The sequence below is a fragment of the Homo sapiens genome, chromosome 3, assembly GCF_000001405.40.
Source record: "Homo sapiens chromosome 3, GRCh38.p14 Primary Assembly".
In the NCBI taxonomy this organism is placed as follows: Eukaryota; Metazoa; Chordata; class Mammalia; order Primates; family Hominidae; genus Homo; species Homo sapiens.
This window is the reverse complement of record NC_000003.12, coordinates 65,161,627-65,185,401: the sequence shown is the minus strand read 5'-3', so window position 1 is coordinate 65,185,401 and position 23,775 is coordinate 65,161,627. Positions and strand designations below refer to the sequence as shown.

The 23,775-nt window shown below is 39.5% G+C and overlaps 2 long non-coding RNA genes across 5 annotated transcripts in view; one reads left to right on the top strand and one right to left on the bottom strand.

The window, feature by feature from the left end:
• LINC02040 (long intergenic non-protein coding RNA 2040) overlaps positions 1–10,463 on the bottom strand; it is an 18,565-nt gene extending 8,102 nt beyond the window's left edge. For both annotated transcript variants that reach the window (NR_183715.1, NR_183716.1), the window contains exon 1: positions 10,326–10,463. This is a non-coding gene — a long non-coding RNA (long intergenic non-protein coding RNA 2040). The remainder of the gene's footprint in view (positions 1–10,325) is intronic.
• Positions 6,423–23,775, top strand: LOC105377127 (uncharacterized). Of its 3 annotated transcripts, XR_001740735.2 has the most exons (5): positions 10,064–10,819; positions 17,910–18,242; positions 19,491–19,665; positions 19,799–19,963; positions 23,689–23,775. It is a non-coding gene; the product is annotated as an uncharacterized LOC105377127 (long non-coding RNA). The 3 variants fall into 3 exon arrangements; XR_001740736.1 differs by lacking the exons at positions 10,064–10,819; positions 17,910–18,242 and adding an exon at positions 6,423–6,671; XR_940926.3 differs by lacking the exon at positions 17,910–18,242.

The window sequence follows — 23,775 nt, the reverse complement described above, 5'->3', positions numbered from 1 at the left end:
TGTATAACAGACATTCATTCTTCTTACAGAGGTCCACCTTATTCTCATTACAACACTTCCCTTCCTTCTTACAGAACTTGAGTTCTGTTGGAGATTTTCAGCAGGATATAATAAGTAAATTTTTCATAATTCATTCAACAAAAGTTTTCAGTAAGTATTTATGGAGCACTTACGACGTGCCGGGCACTAGTTCCTAGGAATACAGCTGGGAAGAAAACAGTCCAAGGATTTCGGTAATATATAAGATCAGAGCATGGCAAGTGCACTGCAAAGACTTATATTGAGTGATGTTAGAAAGGATGAGTGAGAGGCAGCTTAAGTTTGTGTGGGCAAGCAAGGATGGTGAGGAGGTAGCATTCGAATGTGATCTGAATGACAAGGAGGAGCACAGAAGCCTTTCTGGTAGCGGGAACAGCTCAGGAATAGCCTAGTGTCAGAAGGCACTTGGAATGTTCAATGAACTGCATAATGTTTAGCATAACTGTAATTTGGTACGCAAAGGAGAGAGAGAAGCATAGACACAGTTGAAGAGTTAGGCAGGGGCTAGATCTTATGTTTGAATGTTGGGGTAAGGCATTGAGATTGCTTTTAACCGCAAGGGGACACCATAAGAAATTGACACATGCACCAGTCTTTAAATGGGTTGGAGTTTAGAGATTTCATGTGTTTATTTTTATTTTTTGCCTATAAAGAAAGTAACACACTAGTCCAGAATGTGAAAAAAAAAAAGTAGAGAAATGGGCAAGAGGAGAAATGAAGCTGTTTACTCTACCTGAGCATCCAAAATGAAATACACAAAATATTGATCTCCAAGTGAACAAAAGATAACCCCTAGGGATGCTATTGCCAGAGGTGGCGCAATAAGTATTGTGGATTTCATATATTTGCATAATTCAATTCCAGCTCAAAGACAACAGGAAAGAATTCTTTTTTTTTAATCAGGGAGAGTTTTAAAAGCCTTTCTATTGCTACACAGAAGACAATGTACATCTTTTAAAAAAATTTTTTTTATGTGGAATCTCACTCTGCCAGCAGGCTGGAGTGCAATGGTGTGATCTTTGCTCACTACAACCTCTGCCTCCTGGATTCAAGCGATTCTCCTGCCTCAGCCTCCCAAGTAGCTGGGACTACAGGCATGCACCATCATGCCCAGGTAATTTTTGTATTTTTAGTAGAGACAAGGTTTCATCATGTTGGCCAGGATGGTCTCAATCTCCTGACCTCGTGATCTACCTGCCTCGGCCTCCCAAAGAGCTGGGATTATATGCAGGAGCCACCGCGCCCGACCGAGAATGTACATCTTATGGGGGAACTGATGAGAGATCCTATTGCTTAGAGAGAGAAAGAACCATAGCATCACATATTTCCAACCAGAATTTGAAAGAGCATTTTAGGGGAAGCAATGTATCCCAACAGAAACCCATTAAATAGATCAGAAGCTTCAGTAATGTTTATTCCTTTTGGGTATCACAAATTCCACTCCCAGGAATTTATCTTAAAGAAAAGATCACAGACTTGCACAAACATGAGGGGATGTTCAACCATTTTTTTTTTAAATAGTAAAATTTGGAAACCTAAATAGCCAGTAATAGAGGAATAGTTAAAGAAATACTCCTACGCAATGTAGTATTCTGCATAAGGCACAATAATGTTTCGAAGAATATATAATGACAAAGATTTTTCCCATGAAGTATGATTAAGTAAAAAATATGACATCCCCCCTTACCCCATAATTGGTGGTTAGATGGGAAAAAATTAGGTTATAAAATATCATATACACTTTGGTATTAATTGTACAATTGTATATTTTAGAAGAGAACTTTTTCAAAATGTTTAAAGTGGCCATTTCGAGATATTCCATAGCAGAAGTTTTGAAACTTTCTCCCCTCCACTGTTTTCTGAAATTTCTAAAGTGAATATAAGTAAAAAATTAATAATTTATAATGATTAAAAATTAGTAAAACTAGCTAAACATTTGCCTGCTGTGTGCCAGGCACTAAGTGGTTTACCTTATCATCAATAAATTTATTTATGATAAATGATTACAACCATATTCTGACACAGGTACTATTATCAATCCCATTTACTTTTGATAAGATTGAAGCAAAAATAGATACTAACAATGGGCCTGGCGCGGTGGCTCACGCCTGTAATCCCAGCACTTTGGGAGGTCGAGGCGGGCGGATCACGAACTCAGGAGATAGAGATCATCCTGGGCAACATGGTGAAACCCCATCTCTACTGAAAATACAAAAATTAGCTGGGCATGGTGGTGCTTTCCTGTAATCCCAGCTACTCAGGAGGCTGAGGCAGGAGAATTGCTTGAACCAGGGAGTTGGAGGTTGCAGTGAGCCAAGGTTGCACCACTGCACTCCAGCCTGGTGACAGAGTGAGGCTCCATCTCAAAAAAAAAAAAAAAATTGTTAATAATGTACCTAAGTTGCTCACCTATCAAATATTGGCACTGGGTTTAGCACTGCAGGCAGTCTGACATCACAGTCCACCCCGTCAATGGTGGCATTATACTTCTATTAATAGCAAATGCTTAAGCAGAAAGTAAAGTCTCTCTGTGACCAGACAGTGTGAAACTGTTTTGCTCAAAGTCATTGTTAAGAGATGATCACCAATTCCTCAGTGAGGAATGGCTAGAGACTACGCGTCATTTATTACAAATTTTATACAATGTAGATTTCCTTATAGAATTAAGATTCCATTGTTTTCCACGAGCCTCTCAGGTTTTATGATTAAATAACATATCAGGGTATTCTCATATGTAGGTCCTTGGACAAGTGAACCATACCAGACTTTATGAGTCAAGATTCTGATGTCTCCACAGTGGGAAAAATCAGACAAGCTGACTTTACACAATTCTCACTTACCTGGGCTTCATTCTGTCTGGGTTTGCAGTGTACTCTACCACCTTCACTTAACGGTGGCCTTATTGTGCCTGTTGGCTTGGGTTAGATCTTGTTATGTACACTTTTTATAGAGCTAGACACTATCTTTGAAACAAGAGCATGCAATACGAGGCATGAAAAGAAGACTTTGTAGCTGGGGTGAGACTGGAATGAAATTTAGAAAGAGGCTGTAGTGAGAATTGTCCATAACTGTGACAACAGCATGGATCACGTGATATATATTATTGAGTGCCTGGTACTTGCCAGGCATTGCACCAAGTGCACATAATATATGTTATCTGCATTTACTCCTCACAATAGTCTGTGAGATGGGTATTATTCTCCCCACCTTATGCATGAGGAAGCTGATGTATACAGAGGTAAATTGTCCACGGTCATGCAGCCAGTACTAGTGTTTCTGATCACAAAGCTATTTTTGCTTCCACAATGGCAAATGGCATCTTTCACAGCCACTAGCATGTCTCTGTTCCTTCCTCAAAAATAAATCCTTAAATTATTGTTTCAATTATCATTTTACTTATACTACGTGATAAAGAAATTAAATTTTTTTCTTTTTGTGAGCTTTCAGACTCCTTTGGAGAGAAAGAATCTTTTCCCTCTTATTATAAAAACTCTTCGTTGAAATGTCTGTGTTCCTTCAGCTGCCCCTGGGGATTCATGTTCCTGAGTTGGACTGGCAGAGAATGTGATGTTTCTCCACGAGGGACTCTGGGAGTAGTCTGATCATTGTGAAATGATTTCAGTAGTCACTGAAACAGAGTGGCTGGAAGACTTTGGAATCTGACAAATTCACACCCTTTTTTATTTACCTGCCACTGTGGCTTACTCTGGGTATTCCCAGGCAACATGGCTGATGTCCCGGTTACTCTGGTAACTGTAAGGAACTGAGAGGCTTTCTTGCTTTGTGTCTTTCTAGCCTGTCCTTCAGGCAGCATCGGCGGCTACCACTACAGGAAGAGCTAGTCTTTGTCAGAGAACTGGGCTCTTTTTTGGCCTTGTAAGAAATCACAGCCATGTTACTGGGACAGCCCCTCTGTCTTTGCCTGCGTCTTGCCAGAAATTCCTAACTGATTGTCAGCAGTTATGCTGTGTTCCTTCCAACTGGACATTCCCATTTAAATGTATTGTCACTGCAGCCAGGGTCATTTGCAGCTTGTTTTTAGCATGGTACCTTTCCCCCATGGGTCTTCTATACCCCTTGTCCACTCTCATGTTGGTCCTGAGAAAGTTACCCTTTTTCACTCTGATGTTTAACACACACTCTCAGGGATTACGGTGTTTACAATGTCACTTTCAGCACTGCATTTTTCTTTTAGTTTATTCCTCAATGAATGATAATGCATTTTTAAAAAAATCACTCTTTTTCTTACACAAATAATAATAATGTTAATTTTAGAAAATCAAATAGAAAAAAATTAAAATTGCCTACAATTAAAGTGGCCAGAGATTACTAGCGTCAACATGCTGGTGTCTTCTCTTCCTATTGGCATGCGTTCTGTATTTTATGGGTAGAGGTACACATACAGCTATGTAGTTATGAACACTTATTTTCAAAATTTGGGAAGAAACACAGCACATTTAAAAATTTTGGCCTGGCATGGTGGCTCATACCTGCAATCCCAGCACTTTGCGAGGGCTAGGTGGGAGGATCGCTTGAGGCCAGGAGCTTGAGACCAGCTTGGGCAACATAGGAAGACTCTGTGTCTACAAAATATTTAAAAGTTAGCTGGATGTGGTGATGTGAACCTGTGGTCCCAGCTAGTCAGGAGGCTGAAGAGGGAGGATTGCTTAAGCCTGGGAGGTTCAGGCTACAGTGAGACATGATTGTACCACTGTACTCCAGTCTGGGTGACAGAGCAAGACCCTGTCTCTCAAAAAAACAAAAAACAAAACAAAACAAAACAAAACAAAAACAAACAAACAAAAAAAACCCCGAATCCCCCAAACTGGCTGTGGTTTTAGCTGATCTTCCAAGGAAGATGAATACATTTCTGTTTGAGGTAATTGTTGTTTTGTTTGGGCCAACACTTATGTTTCCCTTGATAAAAAGCTATAATGTGTATATATTATAGTATACAAATATTAGTGTAGAATTTGAGAAATTCTTACATATGTATATACACCTATATAACCACAACCAAGATCAAGATATAGAATATATTCAGACCCTATCCCTAGAAGGTTCCCTCATGACCCTTCCCAGTCAGTAACCCCTTTTCCCTAAGAGGAAACCACTGTTATAACTTCTATCACCATAGATTAGTTTTGTTAGCTCTTGAACTTCAGGTACATGGAATCACACATTCTTTTGTGTCTGATGCTTTTGCTTAATATTGTGTCTGTGAAAGTCACCCTTGTTGTTGAGCTTAATGGTAGCCCTTTTTTTTTTATTACTGCATAGTATTCCTTGTCTCAGTATACTACAGTTTATTTTGTTGATGGAGATTTGAATTGTTTCCTGTTTTAGGCTCTTACCTACAAGAATGACGTTCTAAGGCTGAGGCCTTTGCTGTGATTGCATCGTCTCCCAACTTCTTCCTCTGGCCTTCCCTTTCCCCACCACTGTCAATCTTGAAGAACTCCCTAATAATCTTTTCTCATGCTAATAATCTCCATCTCACAGTCTACTTCTTGACCTGACCTGCAACAACAGCCCTGATGGATTTATTTTATCAAATTGGCTATGGTGTTTTACTTTGCTCTAAGACTTAGAAATTCTGAACCTTATGAGTCAAGTTTTCGTAAGGCCCTGAACACAAAAGAGATAAAAACTGGCATGCTAGGTGCACTGTCAGAGTGAATGTCATAATCAAAGGTGATTTTCTAAACATGAATGAACATTTTGTAGGTTTCTAGGCAAAAATTTCATGTAAAATGAGAAAAGTGGTGTATTAGGAGGTATAATCTGGCTTTGTATGTACGAAATGAATTGGAGAAGAAACCTGTTAGACAAGTACAATTGTTCCAACATAAGGAAACAATAAGGAAGAAGGGATGCGAGAGCCTTGGTGGAGAGAGGAGGAACAGGTTGAGGGCACTGTGGCTGTGTGTGGAATTGTCAGTGTGGAAAGTGGAGAAGTTAATGATAACACCAATGCTCTGAATCCAGATGGCCAATGTAGCATTTCTCATTCCATTCATTTGAGCTTTGGGGAAGAAGAAAAGAGTGTAAAGGAGCAAACTTTTGAAAAATATAGATGTCAGGAGGAAATACTGGTGTGTGGTTAAGGAGATGCAGAGTTCAGTTTTAGAGCTGGTGGAATGATAAGAAAAGGATGCATCAAAGAATAGGAGAGGTGAGCCTTTTGTGTAAGGAAGGAATTAAAACAAAAGAGATAAAGATTGGGGCAGCAGGGTTATATCTTGTATTAGTTATCTATTGCTGTACAACCAATTACCCTAAAATGTAGCAACTTAAAATGACTACATATTTACGATTTCACAGATTCTGTGGATCAGGAAACCAGGTGCCACGTATAGCTGGGTCCTCTAGCTTTGGGTCTCTCACAGGGCTATAGTCATCTCAAGGCTTGCCTGGGGAGGATTCGCTTCTAAGAACACTCATGTGTTTGTTGGCAGGCTTCCAATCCTTGTGGGTTGTTGGAGTGAGTTTCAGCTCCTCATAAGCTGTAAACCACCCTTGGTTTCTTGCCACGTGGGCATCTCCATCGGGCAACTCACAACATGGCAGCAAGCAAGCAAGAGGGTAAGAGAGACTGCCAGCAACAGAGACAGAAAGCCAGCGAGATGCAGGTAAGACTGCAACCACATCATGGAAATGACATCTCATCACCTGTGCTATGTTCCGTTTGTTAAAACTGAGTCAGTAGGTTCTGTGCACAAAGGAAGGGGATTCCACAGGTGCCTGCGTACCAGGAGGCAGAGGTCGCTAGGAGCCCTGTCAGAGCTGCCGACCACATCTACATAAAGTAATATTCGAGGACATGGTGCTACTTCACTACGGAAAAGCTCTCTAAGCATTTTTTGCCTCCTACAGCCTTGCTGTTAGAAACTTCCATAAAGTATTAGAAATGTTTTCCTTCGATAGAAGACCATATGTCAGTGGAGATGTTTTTGTCATTTACTAATGCACTCAGTAACTTGATTAGAAAAGTGAACTGTGCAATACTGTATAATTTCAAATGCTTTTCTAGCAAAAATGTATTACCTTTAATTAGACTGATTTAAAGCTGTTAAGATTCTTGTCAGAAATAATTTTTAAGTGGATGTGTCAAGATAACAGCAGTTGTCAAGTGAAGCAAATGGTAATTTGTGCATGTGCTGTCTGGCTTATGAGCAACTGGGTCTTTAAATACTAGCTGAGTGTTTGTGCTTACAATCCCTTTTATAGCAGCCACTCTGGCAGTTAAGGATTCAAACTGTTGAAATGCTATTGTTTGTGGTAAATATTTGTCCTATGACTACGGAATTAAATTTGCTTCCTGCCCTGTAATACAGACAAAAGCACCACTAAGAAGGGAATGCATTTAAGCAATTCAATTTACCAATTGGTCCAGCACAGAACATAAGCAAAGCATTCTGGGTGATTACAGTGGAATAATGATAATCATAAAGACCATTCTTTGATGAAAGCAAACCAGGTGACTTGAAGCATTTGAAAAAACTTGAATTCTATCTTGCAATCTTTTTAGGTTATTCATTTCTTTAGCAAGCTTTTGTTATTGGGCAGTGGAAAGGCGGGCTTTTTCTTGACTTTGTGGCGGGGTTTCTTAGTAGTGTCACTATTGACTTTGGGGACATATAATTCTTTGTTGGAGGCAGGGGTTCTGTCCTGTGCACTGTAAGTTGTTTAGCACCATTTCTGGCTTCAACCCTCTGGATGCCAGTAGCTCTGTTCTTCCCCACCCCAACCCCAGTTTTGATAAATAAATATATTTCCAGACAATGCCAGACATACTCAAAGGTAGGGGGAAGAAGGGAAAATCACCATGCTATGGGAATCAACATAGCTTTTTGATATGGTTTGGCTTTGTGCCCCCACTGAAATCTTATCCTGAATTTGTAATCTCCAGGTGTTGAGGAAGAGACTTGGTGGGAAGTTATTGGATTATGGGGGCTGTTGCTTTCATGCTGTTCTCGTGATAGTGGGTAGATTCTCACGAGATCTGATGGTTTTATAAATGGTAGTTTTTCCTGAGAAGCTCTCACAGGCTCTTCTCTCTCCTGCCACCATGTGAAGAAGGTCCTTGCTTCCCCTTCCATCATGATTGTGTTTCTTGGGGCTTCCTCAGCCATGTGGGACTGTGAGTCAGTTAAACTTCTTTTCTTTATAAATTACTCAGTCTCGGGCAGTTCTTTATAGCAGTGTGAGAACGGACTAATACACTTTTGGCTTAGGAAATTCGAAATTAACAGGATTTAATATGTTAAATTTATAAATATTTTGTCTTTTCTGTTAGTCCTCCAAAGCATCCACATGCTATATAAGATTATATATTCTCTTATTGATTCAGTTAATAGGCATTTGTTAAGTGCTTACTACCTGCAAAAGACGTTACCCAGGTATTAGGGAGATAAGGAGAAAAACAGATATAGATTTTTGTTTTGTCTTGAAGAAGCTTGAGATGTGTGGCAGTGGGGCAGGGACTTAGGTCATTCATACACATAACAGTAATGCAAGTAGAAAGCACCAAGTTTGACCAAAGAGCTAAAATTTTCTGAAATGTAGATTTCAGAAATAATCTAATGTAATTATTTATAATGTAAATTATTTCCTTCTATTTCAGAAATTTCAGAAATAATGTAAATAGAAGGAAAGGAACTTCTATTTTTCTCTTGCAGGCAAGTGGTGGGTTAAAAGCTCAACCCTGAGCTGAATTTAATAGGGTGAGGTTGACCTGTAGTTTAGGCATATGAGAGTAGGTTTTGGGTTGGGACTGAAACTCCGGAATATAACATCAAGTCTAATGGGGCAAGGCAGGGAGATGGAAACCCAGCCTGAAGCCCATGGTTCTCAATTACAAGTAGCAAAATGGAGGCAGCACATTCAAGGGGACCAACAGAGACAGGCACTGGAGAAGGTCCCAGAAACACAGACAGCACCTGGTGCCTTTGGTAGGAAAACTGCTCATAGCTCCCTGGAGCAATGAGAGATGTAAAAGGGCTACACTAGTTTGATGAAAAGAGAGGCCTTTCAGTGGAACCAAAATGATTATTCTCCAATGTATAGTGCTCAGAAACTCAGCAGTGGTGTATGGAGAGCAAGTCCAAACCAAATAGAGGCCGCAGAAGACGAGATATCAAAAGGTTCTCTTTCCCAGTACCTACCACAGGCTGGCTGCTTGCCCAACATCTCCATCAGTAGAGTTCTGACGTTTGAGCCAGCCTTCTGAAAAAAGCAAAAATTCTCCCGGAGATGGTATTAGTAGCCACAAATCTCTTGGTGGTACAATTCTTGAAGTATATTCCTAAGACTTTTAATGGGTGTTATTGTGAAGAGTTCTATTCACAAGTGTGTTTTTGGAATGACAGGTAAAACAAGAGAAACATCTGCCTTCACTGTAAAAATTGTCAGTCTTTCAGGTACACTATAAACCTCAAATCGAGGGATATGATGGGAAGCCTTTCCCAGATTTATTTGACTACAAAGCTATTTCACTGTGTAGCATCTGTGCTTTGGTAACCCTGCCTTGTTGTGAATGAGTTTGTGAAATAAGTGGCTTTTGCCAACTCTCTGAACTTTAAGTGAATAGGGAGATTGCAGGGAAAATACATCAGCATGTGAGTATGCACAGACCCCTCCCTCCCTCACCTGCTATGAAAAACCTGACTTTGCCTGCCTGGCCCACCATTTCTCCTGCTCCACCTAATAGGTCGCTGGCTTGATCACCAACTTCTTGGTTTTTATTATTACAATCACTGTAAGTGGTGAGGTCTGGAAATTCTAGCTCATTACTCTAGAAAGGTCAAAGAGTAAATGGTAGGAGAAAATAAATAGAACTATTTAAGGGGAAATTAAAAGTGGGACTGTTTGGAGGGGGCGGGTGTCAGTATCTGAGCAGGCAGGTGAGTGGCCTTGAGAGCAGCCTTTGTGCATCTTGGAACTTTCGAAAGGAGGAATGGTTGGTAATTGAATGTTTTTTTGAGTTCTACAAAAGTAATTCTGAAGTTTTTTTTAAAACCAAACTGTAGTAAACACAAAGTGTTTTTTATTTACTTATGACTTCTAGGATGGATTTCTTTAAATGTGAAAATGAGATCAAGTGGGATTTTAAGGCAGGATTTAAAAGGTCTATGTTTATAAGAATTATTCCAGAAAATATTTAATGGGAAGCAGAGGTCATGGGTTAAAGTGAAAGAGGGTCAGAGGATGTGTGTATTCTGGTAATAAAGACAGAATGGGATGATATGGTAAATAACTGTCATTTTTTTGTCTTTTCTACTTACCTCTCAGAATAACAAGCACCCTATTTCTAGGAACAGCTCTTCCACTCCATGTGGTTCTGAGGAGCTGCCAATCACAGGACATGGCCCTGCAGCCGTAGGAATGGACATAAAAAGTAGGCCTGGCCAATCATAGTAACTGGTTTCCATGGCCACAGGGATGAGCACATGACCCAATTTAGGCCAATCAGAGTCCTTCCCTGCAGTTTCATAGAGAGAGATAATGGAATAGAGAAGCTCTGGTGTTACTAAGCAGGAAATGAAAGCCCAGAGTTGTCTGCATCCACACCTCTTTTACCATTTCCTCATTCAACCTGGCCACGAGGAAGAAGCCAATCTATAGAAAAGGAAGAAGACAACATGTAGAACCTGAGCTTGGAGATGGAGGGAGATGGTAAAATGTAATCACATTGTCTAAGTCACTGGGCTTCCTGGGGCCAGCTTACTCCTGGACTTCCCTGCTATTTGAACCCATCATTCCAGTTTGGCTTAACTCAGTAAGTTTAGTTTCTGACACTTGTAACCAAAGGAGTCCGGGTGAATCAATGTTCTGAGTGCCTGGAGGACAGAAAGCTGTCAGTGGCTGCAATGAGGAAGAAAGGCCACGCTGATGGGGTGAGAAGGTGTTGCTGTCAACTTCCCATGAGCCCTATTTGCTTAGAGCAGGTCCTCATGGTATAAAGAGGGAGTGGGAATCATATAGGGGTGAGAACTGAGAAATTAATGTCCTCTTTTGCCTTGAGTTGGCTGCCTTCCTGGGGTGATGTGGCAAGAAGAGTTGGGTTCCTTGAATGGTAGTTTGGTTTTGTGTTACCAAAATTTATGCTATAAATATTGATCTGTTTTCTCTCTTATCTGTTTCATTGCTGTAGTTGCTATGCTACATTTCAGTTAAAAAATACATGTCCACAATTTTTATTTGTTGCTTGTTTTAATTATTTCTTTATGGTTAGATGAGGCTGTATATGCAAAGAAACATGTGATGCTTCTTTAAGGTCATCTGGCATGGTCTACAGACATGATGAAATGAGGCACAGTCTACCCACATTGGCTGAGTGTGATGATTCATAACACCAATGCAGGGAGGCGTGTTTTACTACATTGGCCTCTATAGTTTCTCCTCAAACACACTCCCCATGTATTTCCTTCAGAAATTCAATTCATGCTGCACAAATTAATGTCTCATTTTTGTGTCTTTATGAAAGGCAATAACTTAGATGATACGCTTTGAAGTAGGAAGCATTGGAGTTCTTGAAAGAAAAGACAGACACCGTATTGATTTTTCACTGTGAACCAAAAATGCAAATAAGAGCACTATATGTTTTCTTTTTCTTGTTATTTATGTATTTTTTTCTTTTCTTTTTTTTTTTTTATTTTGAGAAGGAGTCTCGCTCTGTTGCCCAGGCTGGAGTGCAGTGGTGTGATCTTGGTTCACTGCAAACTCTGCCTACCGGGTTCATGCCATTCTCCTGCCTCAGCCTCCAGAGCAGCTGGGACCACAGGCACCCGCCACCACATCTGGCCAATCTCTTGCATTTTTTAATAGAGATGGGGTTTCACTATGTTAGCCAGGATGGTCTCAATCTCCTGACCTTGTGATCTGCATGCCTCGGCCTCCCAAAGTGCTGGGATTACAGGCATGAGCCACCGCACCCGGCCATTATTTTCTTTTTTGTTAAACAAAAAATCCTTTTGCAACTGTCCTGGGTCTTAGACTGTCTCCTCCTCCTCTTCTATTCCTATAGTGTTGATGTAGTATAGACTCAAGCTGGATTAGAAGTCCAACTCTAAAAGTAACTGAACTGGGAAATTCACTTATTCTTTGGTGTGTGTACATGGGCATTAGGTGTGGGCCTGGTTTGGTGGGAGGAGATGTGGCAATCAACTTGTGGTCCTAGTCAGTAAACCCCCATAACTTGGCAGCAGAGCTAGGGAACTTCTTATGATAATCCAAGACTTCTCCCTAGATAAAAGGGCATTAGGCTATATGTCCTGGGGGGACTATTAAATGTTAACTGATTTTTAAATAGTTAATGCTATTCTGCATTTGTTGAAGAAACTCAGGATGTGTAGCCAAGTGAATGGAAAGGCATGTGGTGAAAGTGATGATGATGATGATGGCTAATACTTACTGAACACTTACTACATTTAGGGCACTGTTAGGAGTACTCTGCACCTGTTCTCACTTAATTGCTACAACTTCATCAGGTTACCCATTTCTCAGATGAGGAAACTGAGGCTTTGACATTGACTCACACAGCCAGTGTGCATGGACCCAAATCTCCATGACTTCTGATCCCAAGTTATAAAGGAGCTGATTGGGACTCAGCTAGGGAATGATAATTTGATGTGCTTGTCAAGAGAACGGCTATTCTGCCAGGCTATTCCTGGGCATGTTCAAGCCTAGGTTGGAGGACTATTGTCAGGGAAGTTGTGAAGGGAATTCTCATACATTGGGTAAAGAGATGAGGGTGCAGACTGAGAGGGGAAATGCGGCATGTTGGGGAGTGACCCGAGCAGAGGTTGGACAAGTAAGCCGGGGTCATATGTTATTATAAGGATTTGTTATTTTAATCCTAAAGGCCTTGGGAAGCATTTGAAAGGCTTAAAGCCAAGAGGAACTTACATTTTTTGTAAGATTAAATTGGCTTCACTTTAAAAAACAGATCCAAATGGTTGGCCGGGTGCAGCAGGACCTTTTAGGAGGTCATTCCACTTATACCATTGACATGGGAGAGCTAATGATGGCTTGAACTAAGCCACTTGATTAAAAGAAATTAACCAATTTAGACAATATCATCCCCAAATGTCTAGTCCGCCAAACTCTCATTCATTCCTCCTGCCTTGTAAATTATCTCCATTGCTCATCACTTTCAGCTGGTCAAGAAAACTTGGGGCGGTTTCTAAAGAAGCCATTCAGCAAATATTGACAGGCAGGGAGGATTAGGGCGCAAATAAGTTATTTATTAAACCCTGTCCTTGGATGCACAGAAGTTTGTGGGTGACAGGATTGTTATCTCTTTAGAGAAGATGGAGAAAGGCAGATACCAAGGGCTAGGTTTGCTGTAGGGAAGAGGTGGAAGAATTGAAGTTACCATTTGTTCCCAAGTCAGGCATCTCAGGGAAGTAGAAAAAGCTATGAACTGAGAATCAGTAGATTCCTCTTTTTAAATTATGGGACCTTGGCCATGTCACTTAACTTCCTCAGTTGCTTTATCTAGAAAGTAGACATTCCTGCCCTGTGTTTCTTATAGGATTACTGGGAGGATTCAATAAAATGGCACATATGGAAATTCTTAAAAAGTCACAAATCATTCTATACACACTAATTGTCATGTTCAGTCATCGAGGTAAGAGGCACTTTACGGGTGCAAAGGGCAACTTTACTGAGAAAGCATGCTCATGTTTTAAAATCTCAGTTTTCTCAGGATCTGAGTATCATTCCTAGTATCTGATTATACTTTCCACTATAAATTGCTACTTAACTTGCACTTCTGTTTTGGGGAAGCAGTGCTATCCAGTGTTAAGAACATGAGCTTTAGAGTCATACAGATATAGAGTTAATTTTCTGCTGTGCAATTTGACATCTTTTTAATATTTAACTTCTCCAACTCAGTTTTCTCTTCTGCAAAATGGGTCTATTAATAGAATGAACTTTATAAGCCTGGTTTGAGGATTAAAAGAAATATTACATGTAAAGTTGTTAACACAGTCGTTAGCCCATGTTAAGAGCTCATCACATGTTAATTATTATTTCTATATCCTTTAAAGTTTTCAGGGTACTTTCTAGCTCCATTTGCTAATTTAATTTTTCTTAACATTATCAATAGGTGGCTGATTATTATCCATCTTCCTTCATTTGTCCACTTAGGTAGGTCTTGCATGGACTACATGAAGGGTCTTCCACCTCCCTCCACCTAAAAATTCCTTGGGAAATTACCTAGGAGAAAGAACCAAATCCAAAAGAGGCAGAGACAGCTGATTTTTCTAAGGGATAGTGAGAGTAAATGACGTTAGGCCAGTTCAAATTATTGACGTCCCCAGGGCCACTGAGCACCCAGAACTATAGTGAAGTTCCCAGCAGTCCTTGCATCATCAGTGGTGTTCCCTCGTTGCAGACCCATGGGAGAGCACGTAGGTGCCATGTTCCTAACGTGATGCTGACGCACAGCTTTGCAAGTTTCCAACCAGTTACCGGGAGGCAGTGGGCTCTGGGCCAAGCTGGGACTCATGACATCACAGAGGAATCTCGGCACTTGAATAGCTGACAGTGTCTGCCTTTGCCAGCTATGCACTGGAAGTTGGAAGGGAATTTGGCCTCCAGAAAGCACATTTTTACTCCAGCCTGGAGCCTGTCAAAATCAACACGAGACTCTTAGCAACTACAGAGTTATTCTGCTAATTGTTGCCGACACTTAAGAAAGTGAGGAAATGTTAAAGGGCTGCCTCCTTGTCCTGAGTAGCAACGCTGATCCTCTCTAAGCAGATGGACCAATAATTATTCCCATCAATAAGGGGCAAGTGCACAGCTCTGCCTTCTGGTATCTGACCTAGGGGTTCTCTGTGTTGTTTGCCAAAGCCGAGGATGAGAATAGAGCAAAAACTGTAGGGGGAGCTATTTTGTTTTGAATGCAGAATGTAATCTGCCTTTTTGAGTAAGCAAAATATTAAAATTCTCAGAGTCTCTTTTGGAGAAAAATTTTACTTTCTGGGATGTTAAGAAAACGCTATAGAAATAAGCCTTGTTCACAAGATAAGAAACATCATATAATATGCATCAATATGAATCTAAATTAGAAAATGAATTCCCCCAGTTATTTCAAGTGATATATGGGCATTTGGTGGTTGAAGTGGTGAGAAAAACAGACTTGGGTTCGGATCCCAGCTCAGCTGTTACTAGCTGAGTGGCCTCGAGCAAATTGCCTCATAGCTCTGTAATATGGAAGTAGACTGCCTTGCCACACCCAGAGTTCTTATTTGGATTTAATTTTACAATGCATTTAAAGCTTGACAAGTAGCAATTGTTCAAAGAATGATTTTTTCCCACCTCCCTTATTTCTCTCAAGTGTGAAATATCATACCCATTCATATCTATCTATGAATTATGGCCAGGTGTGGTGGCTCATGCCTGTAATCCCAGTGCTTTGGGAGGCCGAGGAGAGAGGATCATGTGAGAGGCCAGGAGTTCAAGGCTTCAGTGAGCTATGATTGCAGAACTGCACTCCAGCCTGGGCAATAGAACGAGACCCTATCTCACACAGAACAAAACGAAGGAAATAATTTTGCTTCTCTGATTGGCTTCCTGCTTTTTTTTTTTTTTTTCCGAGACAGAGTCTTGCTCTGTCACCCAGGCTAGAGTGCAGTGGCACCATCTTGGCTCACTGCAATCTCCACCTCCTGGGTTCAAGCAATTCTCCTGCCTCAGCCTCCCGAGTAACTGGGATTACAGGCGCCTGCCACCACGCACATCTAATTTTTGTACTTTTAGTAGAGACAGGGTTTTACCATGTTGGCCAGGCTGGTCTTGAACTCCTGACCTTGTCATCTGCCCGCCTCGGCCTCCCAAAGTGCTGGGATTATAGGCGTGAGCCACCTCACCTGGCTGGCTTCCTGCTTTTTCTATGGACAATGTGATTAGGTATATAAAACAGGGTTTGTAGTCACAATGAGTTCTACCGTGAGGCTGAGTATCCTGCAGTTATTTCTTTGATAGGATGGTTTGAGGATGAAGCCTCTGCAGAACAGTGTTTGATGCTGCTGGACAATGTATTTGTGCCCAAGCCCATGTCAGGATGAAAATCAAGACAGAATGGCATTTGCTTCTTTGGAGAGGCCTGGGTAGTGACTTGAAAAGGATCCTGGAACAAAAGTATATTTCCTGGCATACCAAGGATCTATAGTTGTGGCAGCTCAGGGACTGCTCTGTTCCTTAACCAGACATAATATTCTTCTCAGGTTAAGCCTCCGTCAGAACCCAGAAGGCCACGAGGTACAGCAAGCCAAAATCTCAACTTCCAGTGAAACAAGGATTGCCTTTGGAATCTGTTTTCTAAATCACAAATGGGGGTTACTACAAGGCTAAGAAAACTATTAATATTAGTAGTTAACCAATAAATGGAAACAAGGGAGGAAAAACAATACAGATCTGTGAAAGACCAGCAACATATCACAGGGGAAAACATTTTGCTGCTTCTTCCTCCTTCTGCTGTGCTGGGCCGGGATCTCTTAATAAGAAGCCATATCCTCTCAGGATATTACCTCAGAGACTATCAGAAGCCTTGCTCAGAGGTTGCTCTCTCACATTTTTTTTCTCCAGTCACATTTATACAAGAGAATTCCATATTTGACAGCACACTGGTACTTCCCTTGTTTAACAAAGGCATCTTAATTTTCCATGACGGTAACATTTAAGTTACCATAAGTTCAGTCTTAAAATAATTGTTACACTTAACGGGTATTCTTAGAATAAGGCCGGAAGGAAACAGAAACAATCACTCCAATTCCCTCATTTTATAGGTGACAATCTGGGGGCCCAAGTTTAGTGCCTTTTCAAAGCAACACTATGTCTGGGCTCAGGGCTGGGTTGAGAAGTCAGATTTATATTTCCACACTGACGCTCTCTGACTTTGCCTTGTCATCATTTAGGGGTGGGTAGGTAATAGAAAACTTACAAGTGTTAACAGGGGTTTAAGTATAAGAGAATACTACCAAATAGTCCCACTGTGGAAAATCATGATACACAGAATTTTATGAAGGAGGGATATCATGAGGTTTACACAAAAATCGTGAGGGTTACATTTTACAGTTAAAGAAAATGTGGCAAAGAGAAGTTTAGTGACTTGCCCAAGGCAACATAGCTAATTAATGGAGCCAGGATTTGAACTCATTGTATCTGGCATATTTGGTACAAGTTAGAAATTAAGCTGGAGTTGCTTATAGGCATTTATGTTATTCCTTGAGGTTTACTCATCGTACTTCACTGGTCTGGGGTGAAGCTTGCACTTTGGGAGCACATGGAGAAGGCTGGGATTGGGAATTCTGCCTAGCCTGAATGTGGAGAGTTATCCAATGTTGTCTCCATTTCTGTATCACATGAGTGAATAGGTTGGCATAACAGAAAGACCCTAAAGAATTTTGAGATCTGTTTGTATTATGGTGGGGACTGTGTTATGCTGGGACTGTTTCCTCTTCTGTCTCTCTGCTTTCTCAGAGACCCTGCCTTAATGCCCCAAAGTGGCAATCTTCACAGCTCCTCTGATTGGACTAGGGGTAGACAAAAAATGACTTCTTTCAGAATCTCTCGCCATGGATTTTGAAATTAGCGTGAGTTTGAATTAGTTTCCTTTGGAGAGATGAGTTGGAAAGTCACATAGACTTGTGATCGGAAGTCACCATCTTAGGGATGCTGTGGTCATTGATGTGTTTTTAATCAGAAAGTAACTGCTTAGAGAGAAACAGGAGTAGATGAATGAATGAATGAATGAACGAATGAATGGGTTCAGTCAAATCCAATGAGGCACAATGAAAATCTTGCTTATGCTTCCTCTTCCCCCAGCTATAAAAAGTACTTGAGCCTTGATTTTTCAGGTGTCACTACAAGCTTTAACGTCTCAGGTCCTGACCATAAAATCAACAGAGGAAGACAGAGTGGAGATAAGGAGTAAAAATGAGTCCAATGACATCATTTGGATCCTGAATTCATTTGTGCCCTAAGCCAACATCTACCCTGAACGTTTCTGATAGAGGAGAAAATATCTTCTCTCTCTCAAGTCAATTCAAGTTAAGTTTTCAGCCCCACTCAAGATAAAGAGTTCTGACATATGAACCTCATATCGCCAATACGTTTCTTTGTTTTGCAGGCTGCCCAGCCAAACTTCAAGAAAAAAGGAAAAGAAGTGCTGGGTCAGCTGCCTTTTGATGGTAGTTGTTTCATTTATTATTTTCTGTTTTGTTGTTTTTGTAAAGAACATGTAAGAAACTCTTCAACTGAATTCCACATGGTGCCTAGATCCTAATCCTTCTGAAGCAAAAAATGTTTTTCTGTTCTCTGGGTGGTTCCTGGGATACTGCAGTTCCAAAAGAATAAGACATGGAAAAAGTTGGCCAGAGTTAGAAAAAAAAAAAAAAAAACAACAACCTGAAGAGAGGGAGTAGAAATGATTAAAGCAAAACAAAACAAAAACTAAAAGTGAGTGAAAATGGATATCCATGAATTAAAAGCAGTACACATGGAAACAGAGCATCTCTCTTTCAAGTTAGAGCCCTGGCATTGAATACATTGACTCATTGGCTACAATCAGCCTTGACTGAGCTCCTTTGTTCACCTCTAAACTAATCACTATGGCTCCAGGGATGTGATGCTGTAATTGATCAGGCTTGGATCACCTGACCACATGTGGTGCTGTGGAAATGACAAACACCATCCTACTGAGATTATGGAAGGGGCAGTTCCTCAGGATGCAAAAGACAAGTGAATGAAAGTCAGGCAGATAACAACAGAAAATATCCAGAGTAGAGTTCCCTCTAAAGTAGCCACTATGTAGAATCCAAAATCCTTTAATGACGTATTTCTAAGTGAAACATTTTTGCCTAAGATAAGCATTTCTGTAAGATTTATAAAAAATACAGCTTTTCTGTATGTTGGAAATTTCACACTAACAGGAATAGTTCTGAAACACTGAAAATCTTAGAAACCTGTAGGATATCTGTAATAATACTGAGAAAGTAAGGATTGAATATTATGAGATTGTGAAAATTTCATTTTCAGTTTTTTTGTTATATGTCCTTATTATAGACTCAGGATTTCCTTTGGAGTTCATTAATGTAAATAATTTCAAAATTACATTAATAATTTTTATGAAACTGTAATTTTTGTGAAACTATCAGCCCTGGTCTCTTTTAATTTGTCATATTCTACAACTGTCTCAAAGATGCAGCTATAAAGAAAGAAGAAACTGCTTGGGGTGACTAGTTGACCATCCCAGAATGGTTTCTTTAATTGTTTTGGCCCCTTACAAGAAGTTTCTTTAAAAAAAACAAAAGTATATATTGTGCTGTTTCAGACTAGGGTTGAAAGTGTGATTTTTCTCATCACACTCTTCATAATCCTTTCAGAGAATTTTGATGCAGAAATAACTTATTAATTTGGAAATCTTCCCTCACACCTAGGAAATACATCTCACTCTGAGATGAATATGGATGGTTACAATAAAAATTAAGTGCATGTACGGTAAATGGGCATTGTTGGATAAATGCAGTGATGGAAGAAAATAAGATGGTGGTCATGCCATTTCTACCTGACTTCCTTTTCTCCAACTTGATGATACTCTACCTTCAGAAACAGGTGAACAGGCCATCCATCATATTCTTTTCTTTGTAGTAACTTTTATTGGTTTGAATTACCATATGTTGTTCGCTTGTGCAGTGTTTGAGTTGAAAGAGGCATAAGTAAAATTACATCTTCTTTTTTTTTTAAGGAACCTTTGTTCTTAAACAGAGGAAGTTGTAAACTCTCCAATAGCAAATTTTATTAACTCATAGGCAATACTATAAATGATGGTACTCTATTGAGTCAATGCCTTCAACATGAATCAGGAGATTAACTTTTGCTGCAAACTGTCAATCTTTACTCCCAAATTATGGTAAGTAGTTAAGTTTTTTTGTTTTGGCTTTGAAGTTGAATGATTCTCTTTGCTCAGTTGTGTCAGTCAGAAAAGGGGATTTTTCTTCTCAGCTGAGCTCTGCATGTTTTTCTTTAACAAATTATCATCTCCCCCCCAACCCCCGACTATGTCATTACATTGTTGTTATTAACATTCATCAATTTCTAAATATTTCTCTAAAGTTCTGAGGGATTTGGCAGTTTAAACTGTATGCCATTATTGACAATATTAAATAAAACTTTCTGAAAACCCTTATGCAGGCTTTCATGTGGGTTTCTGTCAGGTTTGCAGTAAAATGTCATAATGTCATATTTGCATGTTTTTTTGAGAGAGAGAGAAAGAGAGGACAAGAGAGATGGTGTTCTGAGTCACTTGCTGAAGCTTTCTATACACATTTTTAGACCAAAAACCATGGTCTAGGAGAGAAAAAAAAATCAATTTCTCAGAAGCATTCTATGATATCCAGTCAACTGGTATATGAGCCTAAGTGCACATGATAGTTGCCCAAGAAAATTCATTGCTGCTTTATTTGCATCAGCTAAAAAACGAAAACAGAAATAACCTAAATTTGTAAATCAATGAAAAGTTAAATAAACCATGACATAATGTAATGTTATGTAGTATTTAAAGTAGATTTACCTGAACTCACTTAAAATGAGGCTTAGGAAAATATTATTAGGAATAAAAAAGCAATTGCACAACGTTTGACATAGTGGAATCATTTTTTCTGTAAAATATATGTCTTCATGTCTTCACATATATGAATGTATACAAACAGTTAACTATAGTTACCTCTGAGTAGTGAGACTGTTGGGTAATGAGTAGGGAGAACTTTGCTGTTATCTTGACATACCCATGTGTTAAAAAAATGATGAACATGTATAACGATTGTAAAATGTACATGCACAAAAGAAAATAGGCTATCAAGCACTTTCATTTTACAAGTGAGAGAACGGAGCATGGAGAAATTAAATGACTTTCTCTGGTAACAGAGCTCATTAGAGTCAGACTTTGAATTCAGAACTTTAGACTTCAACTTCTGTATGATTATTCCTCTACCAGATCAATCCTCTTTAATGTATCAGAAAAAAAAATTTTAATCATGAATGCCTGCATCTTTGAAATACAGTAAAAATAACCCCTCCTGCCCTCAAACCTTGGAATTTAAATTTTAGAAGTTCAGATCTTGCTTTTCCTCAAGATATCTATCTATAAATGCGCTTTTGTATATGACTTGGAATTAAATGTTTCTCTTTAGTTTTCAAATGAGTTTTATTATCATCTGATAAGTAGGGTAACCCTAGTGCAGGGAATAAATATCTTAATTAACTGATGAGTGGTCAAATCAATCTACAAAATTAAGAGGAGGAGGGCAAAGGGGCAGGAGGGAAGGCTGCCTTCTATGCTGCTTTGTGTAATAATCTAATCAACCAACATTAGCAAAAGTCTCCATGGCTCAGCTCTTCCAACAAAGGTGTTCATTGTAGTGATATCCAGGAATCAACCTCACAAAACCATCTATCCAGGTGGGCTTTGAATTGAGCTCTGTTTCTTCTACTTTAACTTGGTCTCATTCATTTCTTCCTCCCTGGCTACCCATAAAAAGTTGCTCTGGAGAAATGCTCTGGCACCTAAACTCACCCTGTGGAGTACTTTATTCATTGTTTTCTTGTAGTCCTCTTTAAATTGCAGACATTCAAACTTATTAAGCTGTGGCATTCTATTTCTATCTGGGGGTGGGATCTGAGTTAACTGAGTGCTGAGGAACAAACATTGTTAGGGATGTAGAAAGGGCATGATCGGAAGAATAGGGAGATTCTGAGCTAAATTTCAATATCAGCTAATATTCAGTATCAGCTTATCATCATCAGTCACCACCAACATCAATATAGACCTTGTTAACTTCAGAGATACCATTTACTGGGCATTGACTAGGAGCCAGGCAGTAGGGTAGGCATTTTACAGGAACTCAGGCCTCATTACAATCTGTTGGGGGCAGATACTGTTATTATTCCCATTTGTATATAAGGAGATTAAAGCCAATAAAGCTTGGACTGGTTCAAGGTCACATTGGCTAAGGACTGCATTGCTTGTTTTACAGGAAAATTGTCTTCTCTCAGAATTCAATCTTTGTGTAGGAAAACAAGCCAGGGGACTATAACAACATACTCAACACAGAAGTGGGATCTTCCAACACTTCTTTCCCCCAGTGGATTCAGCTTGTTAGTATAGAAGGAAACTCTTTGACTTTTTGAAAATACCTATTGATTTCCTTGTGTGGGGAAATTTACAATTTATATGCTTCAGATGCCATTGAACCATTCACTGCTTTGTTGCTTTTTCATGGGCAGGAAAGATGTTTGTGAAAGGAAGGCCAAGTGGCATCCTCATTTGGCCTCATTTGTGCAATAGATAACTGTGATCTTGGCACTGAGAAGGATGCCCCGAAGCCACTTGAAAGATGAAAGGGCCTATCTTGAAATAAGGTTTGCTGGAAGATCACAACCCAAGCATCTAAAATGTTAGTCCAGAAAAAGGATGGCAAAGAACTACCAGAGTCTTCAAATAGGAATTTCTAATTAGAATTTTAACAGCATGAAATTATCCTTGCTCCACCCTTGGAAACTGCCTTTTCTTATAGGAAGTAGATAAAATTTTCCTGTCCCTTGGTTATGGACTTCAAAGATATGCAAGGATCAGTTTTTTTTTTTTTTTGTCATTTTGTGCAGCTTTGGTATCTGGGTGTTCCTGCTGAATTCTATAGTCCAAATTCTTGTCTACAGCTCAAAGCTGATCTTAATATAAATGGCAGGTTTGTCTTACCTCAGATGCTTATTAAAATGTCATTCAGCAATTAGCTGAATCAAGGAAAGGAACATAGTATGCTTTTATTCTGTCTCAAAGCTTGCCCATATCTAAGCTGAGAATCTTGGTTTGCTCCCATCACATTGAAGCAGCTGTTGATTAGGGTGCCTAAGTTATAAATATAGAAGGAGCAAGTGCTGTGCTTTGGAGATATCTGAAGGAAAATAACTTCTGCTACCTTCTGCTAACAGCACCAATCAATTTTGGAAGTGATAAGGATAGATTCCCTGGGGGCCATCAGCTGCTCTGTAACACATCCTGAAATATAAGAATTATATTGAAACGTTGCTATTTCATATAGCACTTTACACACATTTTTAGATTTAACCTTGAAAGTTGGATAGAAAGGGCTATCAAGAAAAAAAAAACTTAGCCCCTACAAAATCCATACTGCATAATGTATGTTATTGATAATATTGGTGAGACTTTTTCTTCCTCCAGTGAATTAGAGGGAATCCCTGAGATATTGACATCACACTAAAGGGTTAAGTTTTTAGGGCAAGCATGAAAGAGTTTAATTTTTCTCAGCACCTTGCTTCATCTCTGGAAGTTGCCACAACATGCCTCACTTTGGTAGCACAGCTATGTTGACATCCTTTGGGCGTAGAAAAAGTAGTAAAAACAGGGAATCTCCCCTTCTCACTCTCACTAGTGAGTATCATGAAGAAACGTAATAATGGATTTGCATGCTTAGTATTCTAAGGACATTACTTCCAATACTATTTGGATCTTAATTGATAGTAAGCAAATAGAAAAGAAACTTATAAAGAATGTGCTGCATCACTTAAAAATATTTCAAGTACTTTAAATTGGCAAATTAATTTTTCTTTGTTTTTTAGAATTGACAACTACTCCATCAATGCCCAATTCTTATTAAGTGCATTTTCTACTGGCTCAAGTTCTATCTTTGATTGCTCTTTTCGGAA